Source organism: Homo sapiens, chromosome 3 (genome assembly GCF_000001405.40).
Source record: "Homo sapiens chromosome 3, GRCh38.p14 Primary Assembly".
NCBI classification, from domain to species: domain Eukaryota; kingdom Metazoa; phylum Chordata; class Mammalia; order Primates; family Hominidae; genus Homo; species Homo sapiens.
This window is the reverse complement of record NC_000003.12, coordinates 72,810,061-72,826,208: the sequence shown is the minus strand read 5'-3', so window position 1 is coordinate 72,826,208 and position 16,148 is coordinate 72,810,061. Positions and strand designations below refer to the sequence as shown.

The 16,148-nt window shown below is 36.7% G+C and overlaps 1 protein-coding gene across 7 annotated transcripts in view, besides 4 other annotated features; it reads left to right on the top strand.

The window, feature by feature from the left end:
• The window catches only part of SHQ1 (SHQ1, H/ACA ribonucleoprotein assembly factor), a 123,174-nt gene that overhangs the window by 22,237 nt on the left and 84,789 nt on the right, over window positions 1–16,148 (top strand). For 6 of the 7 annotated variants that reach the window (XR_001740192.3, NM_018130.3, XM_011533898.3 and 3 more), the window contains exons 6-9: window positions 1,658–1,785; window positions 8,825–8,979; window positions 10,806–10,859; window positions 13,415–13,538. Coding sequence is in view for 6 of the 7 variants with exons in the window: in NM_018130.3 (NP_060600.2) it covers window positions 1,658–1,785; window positions 8,825–8,979; window positions 10,806–10,859; window positions 13,415–13,538 (461 nt within the window). In the remaining variant the exon portion in view is untranslated. Of the gene's footprint in view, window positions 1–1,657; window positions 1,786–8,824; window positions 8,980–10,805; window positions 10,860–11,653; window positions 13,539–16,148 lie in introns of those variants that run through there. The other variant, XM_011533899.2, reaches the window with a different exon arrangement.
• Window positions 3,613–3,892: an enhancer, noted in NCBI's record as "active region_20092". NCBI's record gives its function as "activates an Ori minimal core promoter by ATAC-STARR-seq in GM12878 lymphoblastoid cells {active_cell/tissue: GM12878}" and the evidence as "EXISTENCE:reporter gene assay evidence [ECO:0000049][PMID:35858748]".
• Window positions 3,913–3,962: an enhancer, noted in NCBI's record as "active region_20091". NCBI's record gives its function as "activates an Ori minimal core promoter by ATAC-STARR-seq in GM12878 lymphoblastoid cells {active_cell/tissue: GM12878}" and the evidence as "EXISTENCE:reporter gene assay evidence [ECO:0000049][PMID:35858748]".
• Window positions 11,753–11,822: an enhancer, noted in NCBI's record as "active region_20090". NCBI's record gives its function as "activates an Ori minimal core promoter by ATAC-STARR-seq in GM12878 lymphoblastoid cells {active_cell/tissue: GM12878}" and the evidence as "EXISTENCE:reporter gene assay evidence [ECO:0000049][PMID:35858748]".
• Window positions 14,939–15,441: an enhancer, noted in NCBI's record as "H3K4me1 hESC enhancer chr3:72859919-72860421 (GRCh37/hg19 assembly coordinates)". NCBI's record gives its function as "activates a minimal SCP1, AML or CMV promoter by ChIP-STARR-seq in naive H9 embryonic stem cells {active_cell/tissue: H9 hESC(naive)}" and the evidence as "EXISTENCE:reporter gene assay evidence [ECO:0000049][PMID:30033119]".

The window sequence follows — 16,148 nt, the reverse complement described above, 5'->3', positions numbered from 1 at the left end:
AATTCCTATTTCAAGATATTAGCTGTTCAGTTTTGTCTAATATGTACTTTATTTCCTCATATATAAAAATGGAATATTTATGTTGGTTAAGAGCTTGGAGTCTGAAGTAAGAGTTCAGTATGTCTACATCCTAGCTATGGTTTTTACTTGTTCTCTGAACTTGGCCAAGATACAAAACTTTTCTGAGCCTCAGTTTCTACCTTTGTAAAATGAGGATATTGATAGTACCCCATGCCTATAGTGATGGTGTGAGGATTCAAGGAAATAATGGATGCAAAGCTTTTAGTGCGGTGCCTGGAACATACAAAGAACTCCGTAAGTTGTCTGTGATCTTTCTAATTTTTAAGTGATTTCAGTATCTCAGTTGAAAGGGAAGGCTGTGGAAAACTATCAGTTAGAAACTGATATAAGATTATAGTTTACAACTATAAGGTTGTAAAACTATCAGTTAGAAAATTCAGTGTATCAAAGCAACCAATTCCTTGAGTTTCTAGTTAACTAAAATATAAATAAAATTTTCACCATGAGTTATACCTTGTTAATGCTTTTCCCAAGAATACCAATTTCCAACTTTGAATGCAAGATAGAATCATTTCTGAATAAGTGTCCTCCAAGAGTGAGAGGTGTATTTTGAATGTGGCTGTTATTTTTCTAGTTAAAACAGGAATGTAGAGTGCAGGAAAATTAGCTTTCTGTTCTCTACAAATGTTGCTTTTATCTTCTTCAGTAGTTTAAGGAACTTTAAAATTAGTATCTTAATAAAATAGATTTTATCTTGGTAGAAAATATGAGTGCACATGCCAAAAATGGTGTGTGTGTGTGTGTGTGTGTGTGTGTGTGTGTGTGTAGCCCCTTTTAGCCTCTTTGTGGAGATGCAGTATCCTGAATTTCCTACTCATCTGCTTGTTTTTCTTTGCTGGTTGAGTTCAAAAATTTTTTCCTTTATTGAAATTTTACTAAAGTCTGTAGTACTTGCATACCTAGCACAAGTGCTAGATTTCAGTCCAATGTGTCTTCAGATTTGCTTCATTTCACATCATCGAATATGGGATGGGACTTCAGGGTAGGACCAGTCTTCTATGTACCTTCTATTTAAAGAGATCAGAGGTTGGACACAGTGGGTCAAGCCTGTAATCCCATCACACTTTGGGAGGCTGCGGTGGGAGGGTCACTTGAGGCCGAGAGTTTAAGACCTGTCTGGGCAAGGAAGCAAGACCCTGTTTCTATGAAAAAATAGAAATTAGCCAGGCACAGTAGCATGTGCCTATAGTCATAGCTACTTGAGAGGCTGAGACAGGAGGATTGCTTGACCCCAGGAGTTTGAGGCTGCAGTGAGCTGTGATTATGTTACTACTGTACTCTAGCCTGAATGACAGAGTGAGACCCATCTCTTTTAAAAAAAGTTAAAAAAAAAAAAAAAAGAGATCAGCAATGTTATATATCCCTTTAGGCAGATACTTACTTTTGTTTTATGGTAAATAACTTATGTTTGTGGTTAGTAACTACAAAGAAAGTAAATATAGTGTTCAGTCTTTCCTTGAAATGTACTTTGAATTAAAATCTGTATTTCTAGTACAAATATGAGTTAAGATAAAATGTTAAAAAGTAAAAGCCAGTGAAATCCTGTATAGTAAGTTCTTTCAATGTTTTTTCCTAGAGCTGACTTTTTTGAAGATGAGGCGATTGAACAGATTTTGAAGTATAATCCTTGGTGGACTGACAAATATTCAAAAATGATGGCCTTTTTGGAAAAGAGTCAGGAACAAGAAAATCATGCTACATTAGGTAAGAAACTCAAATTCGGCTAATTTGTTTCATTTTAAAATCTCATGGTGTACCACGTTTACTGCCTTCCATATTATTAAGCGTATAGTTGTAATTGCCTTATAATGTTAAAATATGAGTTTGAATTGCTAATTTTGGAAATGACTTCTTTGCCCCTGACTGGAAAATGCCGCTAAATAATTAGGCTTATTTGTGTTGGAAAATTCTTTTGAAGTATGGTTTCCTTTAGAATCATTGGAGTTCTTTTATAATTAATTATTTTTTAAAACCTAAATTTAGGGATATTATCACACAGGACATTTGTAGTTTCTCAATAACCTGCTTAAGAGGTATGAACATTCTTCTTTGGTAAGGACATTTGAGTATTAGTAACGGGCGGGGGGAAGACCCAAGTGGGAAAAGACCTAGATGGACATGTTATTACCAGCTTCTCTAAGTGCAGTGTAGCATTGATATATTAAGACTATACATTAGAAATATAACATTTGCAGACAGATCAAGAAGAGAACACCCATGTTTTCTGTCACACTGATTTGGCTTTTATTTACATATTAAAAATAAAATTTCAATGTTTAAATGGAAAGAATACATATATATGTACATTCTGAAGAGTATTAAATGGAATATAGACTCTTCCCACCCCAAGTTCTTCTTCCCGGAAGTAATCACTATTAGCAATTTTGGGGATATTTTAAAAATATATATTCCCACATCTAAACAGTCGCTTTAAGAAATGTCTACACATAGACTCACGTATACCCGGTTTGTACCTTGTTTTCAATTTGTAGTGTGTGTTGCACATCTTCCATATTAGTATGTAGAGATCTACCTGAAGCTTTTCATGATTACATAGTATCCGGTTGGATATTTTTTTCATGATTGATGGATATTTGGGCTGTTTACTACTGGTGGACATTTGGGTGACTTCCTGTTTTCTGCAGTTGCAAATAGTATATATAGTGGCCTTCTTTGACCACTCATTCTGAAGTAGCTACAGGGTCTCTAATGCATCACAGTTTTTTATTTTCTGCATATCAATGCAATAGCCTGTTATCTGCTATTTTTTCAGTGTCTAGTATAGTGCCTGTTATATAAAGGTACTCAGTAAATATCTATAAATATTGTAATAAATGTTTTTATGGTTAAGTTTTATTAAAGTTTAGGTGAGTTCTACCAGATCAAAAAATTGCTACTATAATATTTTAGAAAATAGAGGATTAGCTTTATTGCATAACAGAAGCTCATTATAGTGACTCTTTTTTTTTTTTTTTTTTTGAGACGGAGTCTTGCTCTGTCGCCCAGGCTGGAGTGCAGTGGCACAATGTCGGCTTACTGCAAGCTCTGCCTCCCGGTTTCACGCCATTCTCCTACCTCAGCCTCCCAAGTAGCTGGGACTACAGGCACCGGCCACCGCGCCTGGCTAATTTTTTGTGTTTTTACTAGAGACGGGGTTTCACCCTGTTAGCCAGGATGGTCTCGATCTCCTGACCTTGTGATCCGCCAGCCTCGGCCTCCCAAAGTGCTGGGATTACAGGTGTGAGCTCCCGCGCCCGGCCTATAGTGACTCTTTGTTATAGATTTATTGTCGTTTTCAACAAATCCTGACTTTTATATTTGAGTTTAAGCAGCTTTCAGAGACTTCTCACATTATGTATATATAGACAAATTTTCAGGTTTAGGATTGCTAACAGAATATAGATAGTTAATTGTACATGCTAGGTAGATCTGATCATGAAGTTTGAACAAACTTAAATCATCAAGTGTGTCAACTGGTTTGAGTCAGTTTCCCTAATTTTAGCACGGTATTTTAATGAGGTGGTGTGGGAGAAAATTGATGGTTGCGTAGTTGAGTTTTCTGTCCACCAGGGTGAGCTAGTTGCCCTAAAAATCAAGAGAAGGCGTTCCCTTTGATTTAAATTCTAACTTGCTCTACTTTGATAAACTGTAGCTTGTTCTCAGTCCAGTTTTCTGTGTCAGCAATGCTCTTAGTCTTCTTTGTGTAATTTTAGCAGGAGATCAAGCCACTCAGTCCTTTTAACCACCTGCCCTCCTGACCCTTCATCTGACCCATGACTGATAGCCAGGCTGGTGCATCAGGAACAGTCATAGTCTGCAAAGCCATTATGGTGATTCATTCTAAAAACCACCTTTAAAAATAGCAAGGACATGTGATCTAAGGTAGACGAACTTGAGCTTTGTGTCGAACAGCGTGTCTCTTCTAATAATACCAAATGTAAGATATAAACTAAATGTAGGCTTGGGGTTGGACTTCTTGTTCCACCACATGCCTGCGATATGATCTTGCACCTTTGGGTTGCTGTGGAATGCTGTACCTACCTCAGAGTTGTCCTGAGATTGAATGAAACGATGTATTTAAAATCCTGTAAATGTTAGAAATTATTATTGTAGAGTAAAATCAGTCACAGGAGAGCCAGGAGTTGGATGGTTTCTCTGTGAAATTACAATTTTTATACATTTAGAAAGCTTTAAGGGAAAGTTCCTTGTTAACAAGATTTCTCTCTCATTTGAAAAATCCTGGTTCAAATATTTGGGGCACTCAGAATTGGAGGAATAAATTGAAGTGTGTTGAGCCAGGATAAAATATGGGGGAAAAGAAATAAACCAAGAAATAAACATCACAGTTTTCTGCTGAACTATGGTGCATGCTGCTGTACCTTTTCTCCTCTTCCTCTTTGTTCTTTGCCTCTCTGGCCTTCTTCCTCTTTGTGTCATAGCGTGGGCTGTTGTCTGTTTAACACCTCCTCATCAGGTGTCGCCAGGCAGATACAACAGTGCAGGTGAGGGGTGTACCTTTGATTCATTCTGTATCATAAAATATTAACCTAGATTGCTTTGAATTCCAGATAAGCCTTAGGTGGTGAACTTTGCTCCCTCTTTTTCTCCCTTGGTTGTAATTCTTGTCGTTTTCATCACAGCCCTGAGTTACAACAGGGAGACTTTTCTCCAGCTTTGTAGTGATCCAGATTTTCCTCCCCAAAGGCTTGTAAATGGAAGTGTTAAACGCCGTGCTTCCCCTGAGCTCTGGTTTCATGAGGATGAACTCACCGCATTTCCCATGTTGTCTTTCAGTGGTTAATCTGAAGCTCCAGAGTCTTGGCACGTTATTGCTTGTTATGACACCACGTAACATTTATAGTCAATGAACTTCCTAGCAGGGACATCCTGTTTGGCACCAGTGAGCCCTTCAGTGTTTGTAGAGATAACTGTCAGTGTCAACTTTGAAAGTTGTAGCACTGCAGGGCTACCCATTTAGGCTGAAGGTTTGAATGCAGCACAATTTTTTCTGGTTCCCTTGATCTGGTTCCAGTGAATGTACAATGTAATAGACAGATGTGCGTTACTCTGAGAGCATTGAGATCCTTTGTGATTTAATTGTTGACCCAGATAAGAGGGATGTTTGGGAGGGGGATTTAGAGAGGAAGGGAGGATTTAAAAGTAACAAAATTAGAAAATATTTGGAAGAGAAAAGTGACTACCTTGCAGACATCTTTCATTTTGATAGTCCCTTTGCAGCCTTCAGACATATTGGTGGGGTTTTTGATGTTGGGAGGTGGTCCTTGGCCATTTGCTTCAATGCTAGGGCACCAGTTTCCTCCTCAAATGTATTGAGAGTTCAGCTGACTTTTGTTTCACTGGAGATTATTTTTAAAAGTATAATTAGCCAAAACATTGTGAACTATATAGCAAAGCTGCTTTGTAGTGTAGCTAAGTCATACAAATGCTTGACAAATGTTATTCATGGTGGCAATCATCCAAGCATTGTTGGCACTGCATCTGTAGTTATTTCCAGTACTGCTGCTAGGTTAGACTTGATTGTGTGCAAACTTCCCCCAAGTTCCCCTTTGGGTGATATGATTTACAGCTCTAATAAAAAAGGCCTTAGGGAGCTCAGACTTTTGGTTTCTCTAGTGATTTCCTGGTTTGTTGTTATTGTTATTTATCATCTCTGATTTCTTTGCTTGAATTTCAGAATTTAAATGCATTTGTGTGTTATTAATGAAGTAGGCCACAGTGGAACTTATAAATGCTCAGTAAAAGGTGGAAGTGTTTTAGGGAAAGTCTAGCAGCTCCTAGTATCCAAGAATTCAGAAGAATAATTCAAGTAGGTTTTTCTTCTGTGCACAGTTATTGAAAATGACTAATGTAGAAATACTTACATGTGGATAATGTAACGTCAGAACCTACATTGCCTAGGTCAACTTTTATAAATGGATAAACGTCGATAGGTATGATTACTTAAAAATGAAGGCATAAATATGTAGAGAGTTGACATGTTGCTAAATAGTTTCTGGGCATGCTTACTTTGTGATTGAGAATTATGTGGGAGCAGGGGTCTATTAGTCAACTAGGATATAAAGACTTTTCTCTAGTCAGAGATCATGAACACCTGGCATTTTCCCATTAGCTAAATTAATGAACATCTCAAAAACCATACCTAAGGGAATACTGTCTCTAACCTTCTTGCTAAATACAAGGAGTCATAAAATATTTTGTCAGGTATGCTTTCTTCCTGCAGTGAGTATATGCCTTCATGCCATTTCCTTAAATCAAATTGCTTAAAATGAACTGAGAGCTTTTATTTAAATTAAGGAACTTCAGATGCGTCCTCCAATGAGGCAGTCAACACTCAGTTTATCTGTCTTATTAATTAAATCCAGTAAATTTTAAATTAAATACAGTTGACCCTTGAACAAAACATGTTTGAAATGCATAGGTCTGCTTATATGGGGATTTTCTTTTGCCTCTGCCACCCCTGAGATAGCAAAACCAACCCTTCCTCTTCCTCTTATTCCTCAGCCTACTCAATATGAAGACCAGGATGAGGACCTTTGTTTATGATGCTGTACCTCCACTTAATGGATAATAAATTTAATCTTAAAGAGACTTCATGTACAATTCAAGGATTGGGGAAACCTTAACTAAAGCTATAAATCCAGAATCTTGTCTTAAAAAAAAAATGGACATATTTGACTACATGAAAAATAAGTGTTTCAATGGCAAAAGGTACCATAAACAAAGTCAGTAGAGATATGGTAGCTTTGGAAAGATGATTAGGGTTTATATCTATAATATACAGGATTCTTAATTTGACAAGACAAGCCATCCAATAGAAAAAAACTGGACAAAACACATTCGAATGGGTCACTCATAAGAGTGCAAATCCAGATTGCCTACAAACCAAGGAACTAGTGCTTAAAGTTGAGCAATTGGAGAAATACTAAGTGAAATAACAATGATAAGTCACTGTTTTAGTTTTCTCTTGCTGCATAACAAATTATCACAAGCTTCACACAGTGTACATTCATGATCTCAGTTTCCATGAGTCAGAAGTTGGGCCAGGCTTAGCTGGGTCCACTGTGTAAGGTCTTGCAAGGCTGTAGCCAAAGATATCCATCTTATTTTTTTAAAAAACAGATGTTGGAGGCTGTGTTCTTTCCTGGAGCTCAAGGTCTTCTTCCAATCTCACATGATTGTTGGCAGAATTTAGTTCCTTGCAGATATAGAACTGAGGCCCCTACTTTGTTGCTGGCTGTTAGCTGGGGGCCACTCTTAGATCTTAGAGGCCTCTACAGGTCCCTGCCACATAGCCTTCTCACAGGCTCTCTCACTTCACCATGTGACATCTTATTTCTTCAAAACTAGCAGGCGAGTCCCTGGCTTTGGTCTGCTAATAATGGAATATAATCATGGAAATGACTGTCCCATTGCCTTGGTCGTATTCTGTTGGACAGAAGCAGGTCACAAGCTCCATCCCCACATAATGATATGACTCATTGGAAGTCATCTTAGAATTCTGCCTACTATACTCAATTTATTAACCTGGAAATGATTGTAAAAAAGCTATTACATTTCTTGCCAGGGGGAGGTGGGAGGTATGTGTAGGAAGAGGAACTTCTATTCATGACTGTGAGAAAGGAGAGTTATTGTAGCCTTTAAGTAAAGTGTCTTTCTAAAACAGATACTTTTTTAACCCAGTCAATACAGTCTCGAGAGTCTACTTTATGGAAATAAAGCCTCTAATAATCAAGGACATAGGATAAGGATATTTATTGCAGCATTATTAGCAGTGGCAGAAAACTAGAAGCAAAGTGAGTGCCCATCAGTAGGGGGAGTGATTGGACAGAGCATGGTACATTTTGGAATATTATACTCCTTTACAAAAATTAGTTACACACCAGTTGACTTTTAGGGATTTGCCAGAGGTATTGTTGAGTGAGAAGGGCTAGATGGAGAAAAATGACCTAGTTATTTGGGTTGAGGGAGGGTGTAGGAAGTATAAACTCCCTAGTAGGTATGCTTGTGTGTCTGTATGTGATTACATGTCTAGAGAAAACTATGGAATGGTATATACTAGATTTTCAGTGTGTGAGAGGCTGTTGACGAATATTCAGGAGGCGAGAAGGTGCCAAGCAGAAGAAGAAAAGCAAAAAGGAACTGTGTTGTAAAGAAACAATCTTTTCCCACAAGTCTAACGTATGTGATGTGGTCATATGTAAAACTTGATTTATATGGTAAACAATATGAGATTTTAATGGATTAATTTGAATTGAAATTTAATCTAATTAAATTAAATTTAAATTTAACAATTTTAATTGATTAATATCTGGGAGTATTCCTATTTCTTGGTATAGAACTTTCAAAATGGATAACGAATATTTTCAGTGTGCTTTATTTAGCACTTTCTGTTGTCAAAATGTATTATCTTAATTTTAAAGACAGTAACTGGCATTCAGACGTCTTAAGTACAGAACAGTGTAGCAAAAAAGGGAGGGTCAGGAATTAAGGAATAGGTATTATTTAGAAAAATCTTCTTTATTCAGCCCTATTAGAATTTGAGCAGACTCATAGCTCTTACTAAAACTGTGAAGTCTACTTAAGTTATTTATATATCCATAGTTAAGTAGAAAGAACTTTTATTTCAGTTTCTATAATCAAAGTTCTAATTTTGACAAATCTTCCATTGGGAGTTTTACAAAACTGAATGAAACATCTAGTTTTTAAATGCGTTTTCTTCTAGTGTCTTTTTCTGAAGAAGAGAAGTATCAGCTACGAAAATTTGTCAATAAATCTTATCTGCTGGACAAGAGAGCCTGTCGTCAAGTGTGCTACAGTTTGATTGATATCCTTCTGGCATATTGCTATGAAACCCGTGTCACTGAAGGAGAGAAGAATGTAAGTGCATGTATGTGTGCATGTTGCCATAGATGACTGTGCTGAGTAAACTGCATTAAAGCATCAGTCTTTCTTGTCTAGAGTAGAACTGGTGGTGATCAGTTATTCAGGGGATGCCCCCAGCAGAGTTGCATGTGTGTGGTGGTGGTGGTGGGTACCCACATGCAATCATACATTACTTAGTTGGTCTTTTTCACTTTTCTCTTGGCATTAGTCTCTGCAAAAATAGCAGAGTAGGGAAGTTTAAGGGAGTGAAACTGAGAGTAGAGAGGAAGGCTACTCTGAGCTCTCATCTCTTTTAGGCCAGAGAAGTGCTCTGTCACATGACACTTCACATTGGCAAGGGGGTAAACTGCCATACCCATTTATATTCTTTCTCTCAGCCAGAAGTCAGCAGATGCAAAATATGGCATTTTACAAAATAGAGAAATCTTAGTATTTACCTGCAAGTGTCCCTCAATTCATAGAGTATGTGTACTCTGAAAAATTATATGTAAATCAGATTTTTTAAAACCTGAATTATATCTTTTTTTGCTATTTAAAGGGATCATATTATAAAAGTAAATCCTTTTGTAAATTATTTCTTCATCTTTTAAAAAATAATATAGACTTTGTTGTATCTCTTCTTAAACCATATTTGATTTTGTAAATGAAGAGCTAAACTTCCTTTTCACCTGTACCATTGATTGTATATTTAAAAAGGCTGGAAACCAAAAAAAACAGCCTTTCTAGTTAGTGTGGCCCTGCAGCTGTTTATAATTGTCCTTGCTCAAAAGGTTATTTTTGATCTGAGCATAGCTTTCCTTTTTTGAATTACACAAATAATTCACATATGAAGGAAAATATACACATGAAGAAAATAATTAAGATTTCCTGTAATTTCAGTCATCAGAAATATAACCGCTGTTACATGGTGATGTATCTATTTCCAATCTTCTTTCAGTGTGCGCGTGTGTCTATATTGTGTGTATTTACCTTAGGTCCTAACGTGTATACTATTTAACCTGCTTTTTTCACTTGACATTATAGCACTAGGATGGTATTAGAGTTAGAATTTTCTATGTACCAATTTTTTTTGTTGTCATGATTCTGAAAATTTCTAGGGTGCCTCTTGACATTTGTGTCTGACTCCAAGATGACTATTAATTTAGTGTGTTAAGGGCATAATATATCTGAAAATACTTTTTGTTTTCACTCGTCTTTTAAAGATACTGTAATTGGAGAAAATGTTTTCTTTGACCAAAAAATGCTTCATATTAAATCTTGAAAAGATGAGTGTTTAGGTATATTTGAAAAAATTTACCATTTTTTATTCTTGTATTTGTGTATTTGAAATCATGAAGTCTTACAACTTGAGACCTTCTCTAGCATTTACTTATTCTCACCAGCATTCTCTGAAAGATCAAATTTTCTAGCAGCTTCTTAAGTGCCACAGGTAATACTTCAACATTATCTTTGATTCCTTTGATAGATTATTTATGGATTGTTTGGGAGGCATGTAACTTAGTGGAAAAAGGACAGAAATTGAGCAGGGATTACTTTGCTTTAACTTTTAGTTTCAAAACCCCTGGTTGTTTGCTCTTGTGTTCTGGTACTCTTATCAGTAGAAAAGTTTTATTTTCGAAAATCCCAAGGAGAGTAAACAGAAACTTCCCACTGGTAGTCTCTGTATCAGCAAAATAATTATTTTTCTATAGTCGTGAACACTTCTTAGTTCTCATATGTCAGTGATCCTCAGACACTGGTTGAATAAATGGATTTGTTTGGTCTATTTAAATGACTTCACCTCTAATGTGATGGTATTCTTTTCTCCAAAACAAATAAAGGTTGAATCTGCATGGAATATCAGGAAACTGAGTCCAACACTATGCTGGTTTGAGGTATGATTTCCAGTTGCAATTGTTTAGAATTTGTTGTTCAGGAAGTTATTTTTGTTGTTTTTACATCATTTGGGGTAATTCAAGCAATTCCTTGAATTTTTAAAAGTAGAAGCTCTATTGTACAAGTATGTTTTCCATCTTTTTAATAAAATTCTGATAATGAACCAGGTAGAGTACTTTGGAAGCTGGGGGAGGGAAACACACTTTGGAGAGAGGATGGAGACATGGTTTGTTGGGAAAGAATGTGGGGGCAGAGTGAGAGGTGTGTTTGTAAGTTGGCATGTATTGGAGCTTGAAACTCAGAGATGGAAGCAAACCTAGGTGATAAGTGACTGTCAGGGTCTATGCTAAGAACACACACACACACACGAAAAATAATGTTTTTTATATGATTTTTTATATATATGTGTATATGTAAAAAAACTTCACCTATTCTCAGTATGTCTGTGAGGTAAGTATTGCAGGTTTTACAGGTGAGGATCCTTAGATCATATAGCTTAAATCTCTTATCTTAGGTCCTACAATTCAAATGTAGTCTGGTTACATTTGATAACTCTTTTAGTATAGTAATAATGTTTCTGGTTTCTGAAAAATAGTTGTGCAGGTCTCACCAAAAATACCAAAGATAATATCTTTAAATTTGTGAGTTTTTAACAAACTTGTGCATCAAAACAGTAATTAAAAGCAGAAACTTTAAAAAAGTATCGAGATTATATCATCAGTTAAAACAACCAGTATTTTTTAAGCTGTAAAATCAAGGTTATTTCATTGACGTCACTTTGTTGAAATAATAGGTAAGATGTAAACAGGAACTGAAACACTTACTTCATATAGAATCTTACTACTCCAAAAATGATTCAAGGACCAACAACCTGACCAGCAGCTTCAGCTGGGAGCTCATTAGAAAGACAGAATTTCAGTCCCACCTCACACTCACTGAATCAGAACCAGGATTTGTAGCAAGATCTCTACGGAGTTTGTATGCATATTGAAGACAAAAAGTGCTGCTCTCTAGGCTTCATTGGAGTTCCTCATGTTGCCATGATCAGCATATAATAGAGGAATCGGTTTCTGTGTTAGCATTTATTAATATGTTGAAAGTAGTTGGTGACTGGATAATTTTGTAGTATAGTTATTAAAAATCTACATGAAAATTCACCTATTTATGATTTTTAAGTTCCTAATTCTCTTTAAATTATGTCAAATACTAAGTGTTCTTAATCAGATTCCTCATAGTTTTAAGGATTAATGTACATGTAAATTATCTTTCTCCCTTGGTTTTAATTTTAAATTTTACATATGGTTTACATTTTTTATACTTTGTTTATCAAAAAACAATTTTGTGGAAATTTTCTTTTGTTTAGTGTTTTTAGTAAGTTTTGAATTGCTAATGTTATCAGTTTGATACCGTTCAAGATACAACACCTTTTTTCCTAGAAATCAGTTTGATAAGCAAAAGCAAATTACTCAAGTAAATGTCTTGTATTACCCATGTCCAGTGCAAAAAAAAAAAAAAAAAGAAAAAGAGGAGAGGAAACTGAACATACTTTACTAAAGAGTTCTATGTATTTTTTTTTTTTTTTTTTTTTGAGATGGTGTCTCGCTCTGTCACCTAGGCTGGAGTGCAGTGGCGCGATCTTGGCTCACTGCAAGCTCCGCCTCCTGGGTTCACGCCATTCTCCTGCCTCAGCTTCCCGAGTAGCTGGGACTACAGGCACCTGCCACCACGCCCGGCTAATTTTGTAGTTTTAGTAGAGACGGGGTTTCATCGTGTTAGCCAGGGTGGTCTCGATCTCCTGGCCTTGTGGTCCGCCCGTCGGCCTCCCAAAGTGCTGAGATCACAGGCATGAGCCACCGCACCCGGCCTTTTTTTTTTTTTTTTTTGAGATGGAGTCTCACTCTATTGTCCAGGCTGGAGTGCAGTAGCGCCATCTTGACTCACTGCAGCCTCTGCCTCCCAGGATCGAGCTATTCTCTGCTTCACCCTCTTGAGTAGCTGGGATTACAGGTGCCTGTCACCACACCTGGCTAATTTTTGTATTTTTAGTAGAGACGGGGTTTTGCCATGTTGGCCAGGGAGGTCTCGAACTCCTGACCTCAGGTGATCCACCCGCCTGGAGTCCCAAAGTGCTTTACAGGCATGAGCCACCACTCCCGGTGAGTTCTACATTTTTGATCTGTGCCATCTTGAATAGCCTTAGCTGACAAAAACATGAAATGTAAATTATATTAAAATGTCCTTTATGTGCATCTGTATTTTGTTAATGCCATGTGTTTTAGATTCTTATTTGTAATCTTTAGGACTTTATTTAAAAGCTTTCTTGTGACATTTGTGATGTATTGATAGTGTGAGAAATTACAAAAACTAAGATTCTGTTTTATTGTAAAGTATACAAAAAGAATCTTATTTCATGGTTTTATGTTTCTCTTCTACTTGGCTTCACAATGATCCGAACTTGCAGCTTTTAAATGAGAAAAGCTTCCTATTTCATTGTGTACTTTTGTTTGTGTAACATTTTGTGGAAATGACTGCTTATTAAAATGACACTTCACAGACTTGGACTAACGTTCATGATATCATGGTGTCTTTTGGAAGAAGGGTGTTGTGTTACCCACTCTATCGCCATTTCAAGCTGGTGATGAAGGCCTACAGGGACACTATAAAGATATTGCAACTGGGTAAGATATTACTGTACTTGCAAATTTGGGAGGGAAAAAGTTGTAAGTTTTTAGTCTGTGAAGATATAATAATGATTTTTGCTTTTTTACTGTATATAAATAAGTAATGAAAAATGAATCCAACCACTTTTAAAGTATAGAATTCCTGTGTATAAGACATATGTAGATAAGTAATTGCATAGAGGCATAATAAAGACTCTTTTCCGAGAGGAGTAAGGAAGGTAAACAGAGAAGGCACACATAGTATTGCAAACCGTTTTACATTATAATAGCTGCATCATTCAGTATTTCTTGGCTGCCTATAATCTTCTAGGCTCTATGGTGGGACTGTGGGTCTAATAATAAAGAAGGCAGAAAAGTTCCCTGCTCTGTTGAAGTTTACAGTTTTGTCAGACAGATGATGGGTAAGTTAGCAATTCCAAAGAGAGTGAAAAGTACTCTGCTGGGAGAAGTCCAGGGATCGTTTAGGAGGGGACATGTAACCTAGATTCGGCATGTCAAGAAAGATTTTCCAACAAAAAGCTCAGCTACTCTGAGCACTTTTGACTTGCTAAATTCAACCTGAAAAGACAAACACTCGTTAGCTTTAAGGATGTGGAAAATTCTGGGCTCTGAAACAAATTCCAAAGTGCCCATAGTATCATCATTAGAATAAGTATATAATTTCCAAGATAATGACTTTGAAGGGGGCAACATCCATTTGTATGTATTAGTTCTGGCACATTTATTTAAAAGTCACTTTTAGTACTTTATGGTCATTTCTTATATTCTCCCCCTGGGGAGACTCATCATTCCTTTGCCCTTAGATAAAAGTGTTTCTGGGAGCTTGGTTTTCAGACTTCAGAATAAGAAGGGGAAAGAAAGGAAGTTCTTCCTTCTACCTCCAGGTGACTTCACTGGCCTAAAGAAGAGAATCACATCTCAAATGTTTTGTCTCACCTGGAAGTGTACTTCGCTTTCTGTGTAACCTGTAGTCTTCTTGCCCTGGTGGTGGGGATGGGGGAAGAAAATCATGTTTGAAATAGATTATTTTAAAGTAGACAGTAATTGTAAAAATGAATCATGGTTAGATGAAAGATGCCTTTTTATTCATCCAGTTGGTTTAGACTAGCTGTATTTTATTTTGAAGGATTGTTGATTATAGGATGAAAGAGCTATCATTGAGAAATCTATCTTCTTTAACTTAACAGTGGGAAACAAACTGCTTTGTTTTTTCATGTGTTATTTCTTCTTGCCTTCCATCTAAGATATTTTTTGAATTGCTAAAAGTACCTTGGAAAATCAATCTACTATAAATGACTGTGTGAGCCTCAGTTACACGTCACAATTCATTTCTTTTTTAAGTCATGCTAGATTATCTGGGCATTATTCATGGACTTAAACCAGTGAGAATGCAGTTTGCGATTATCCTGTTATATCATGGCTTCCAGATGGAGAATTGGCAAAACCTCCACATGCCTGTTTGCACACACACTCACACACTCTCACTCTCACTCACATATACAGACTATTGCTTGTTACTTTTTATTCTGGGAAGTAATCTAGTTCTTTTGACTTTCATTGGAAAAGTAATCAGTACTATGATTGCATAACCAAAAATAAATTCGATTGCCTTGACTTACACAGGAATCAATTACCCAGTTTTAGTAGGTCAGAATTGAAATTGAGACTTAATTTTTATTCATTATCACTCTGACAAGAAATAGTTTTATCAGCTGTGTTATGATAGTAACATAAAACTTGAAGTAACACACTGGAGGCCTCTGCTAAAAATGAACCTGAACCCTCTATGTACCATGTACAGTGTGTTCTGTGACTAATTTGGGTTGTGGCTAGTTAGTGCTAAAACTGAGGGCTGGGTTGTCTAGAATTTGTGCCAGAAGCTGTAGAGATGACATGTTCTGGATGAGAATCGTCACCTGTCTTTGTACAGGTGGATGGCACGGGGATGCCATTATTGCCGCTGAAGAGGCTCATTTGTTTGAACACCCCATAATTTAAATAAAGGTAGCTCTGGTTTGGCATTTAGTGTTTTCCAAGAATGAATTCATGCCTACTTATAATTCAAAATGCAGTCAGTGTTCACACTTTTTATTATAAAGGTCAGTATAGTGTTCCATAGTTGAAAGTAATGAATAACCCTGGCTCCAAAGAAGGATTGATCTTAAATGGAATGAGCTTTCAAAACCAATGTAGGAATGCTTCAGAAACTACAGAATATTTCATTATAACTGATTGACTAAGATCTGAGTTTTCAAAGAGCCAGGAATTTGCCTCATGTGACTTCACAGTAGCCTTTACAAGGATTCTTTACTAGGCCTTTGGCTCTTTTCAGGTTTGCATTTCTTCTCATTCCCTCCCCTCCTCCAGAAGACTGTATGTTTATCTCTGGAGGTTGCTGTTCTGTTTAATCCAAACTCTTTAAGGGCAGGAAATCCTGCTTTGCCCCTTAAGTACTGTTTTAGTGCTTAACAAAGGACCTTGCTCTCCTTGGATCAGTCATCTTGGGGCACATGACTCCTTTTTTTTCCCCTGTCTCTGTCTCTTCAACTTTTATTGCCTCTGTTCCATTCTTTTTGGAAGAATGGGTAAAGTTTTTCATGGGAGCAT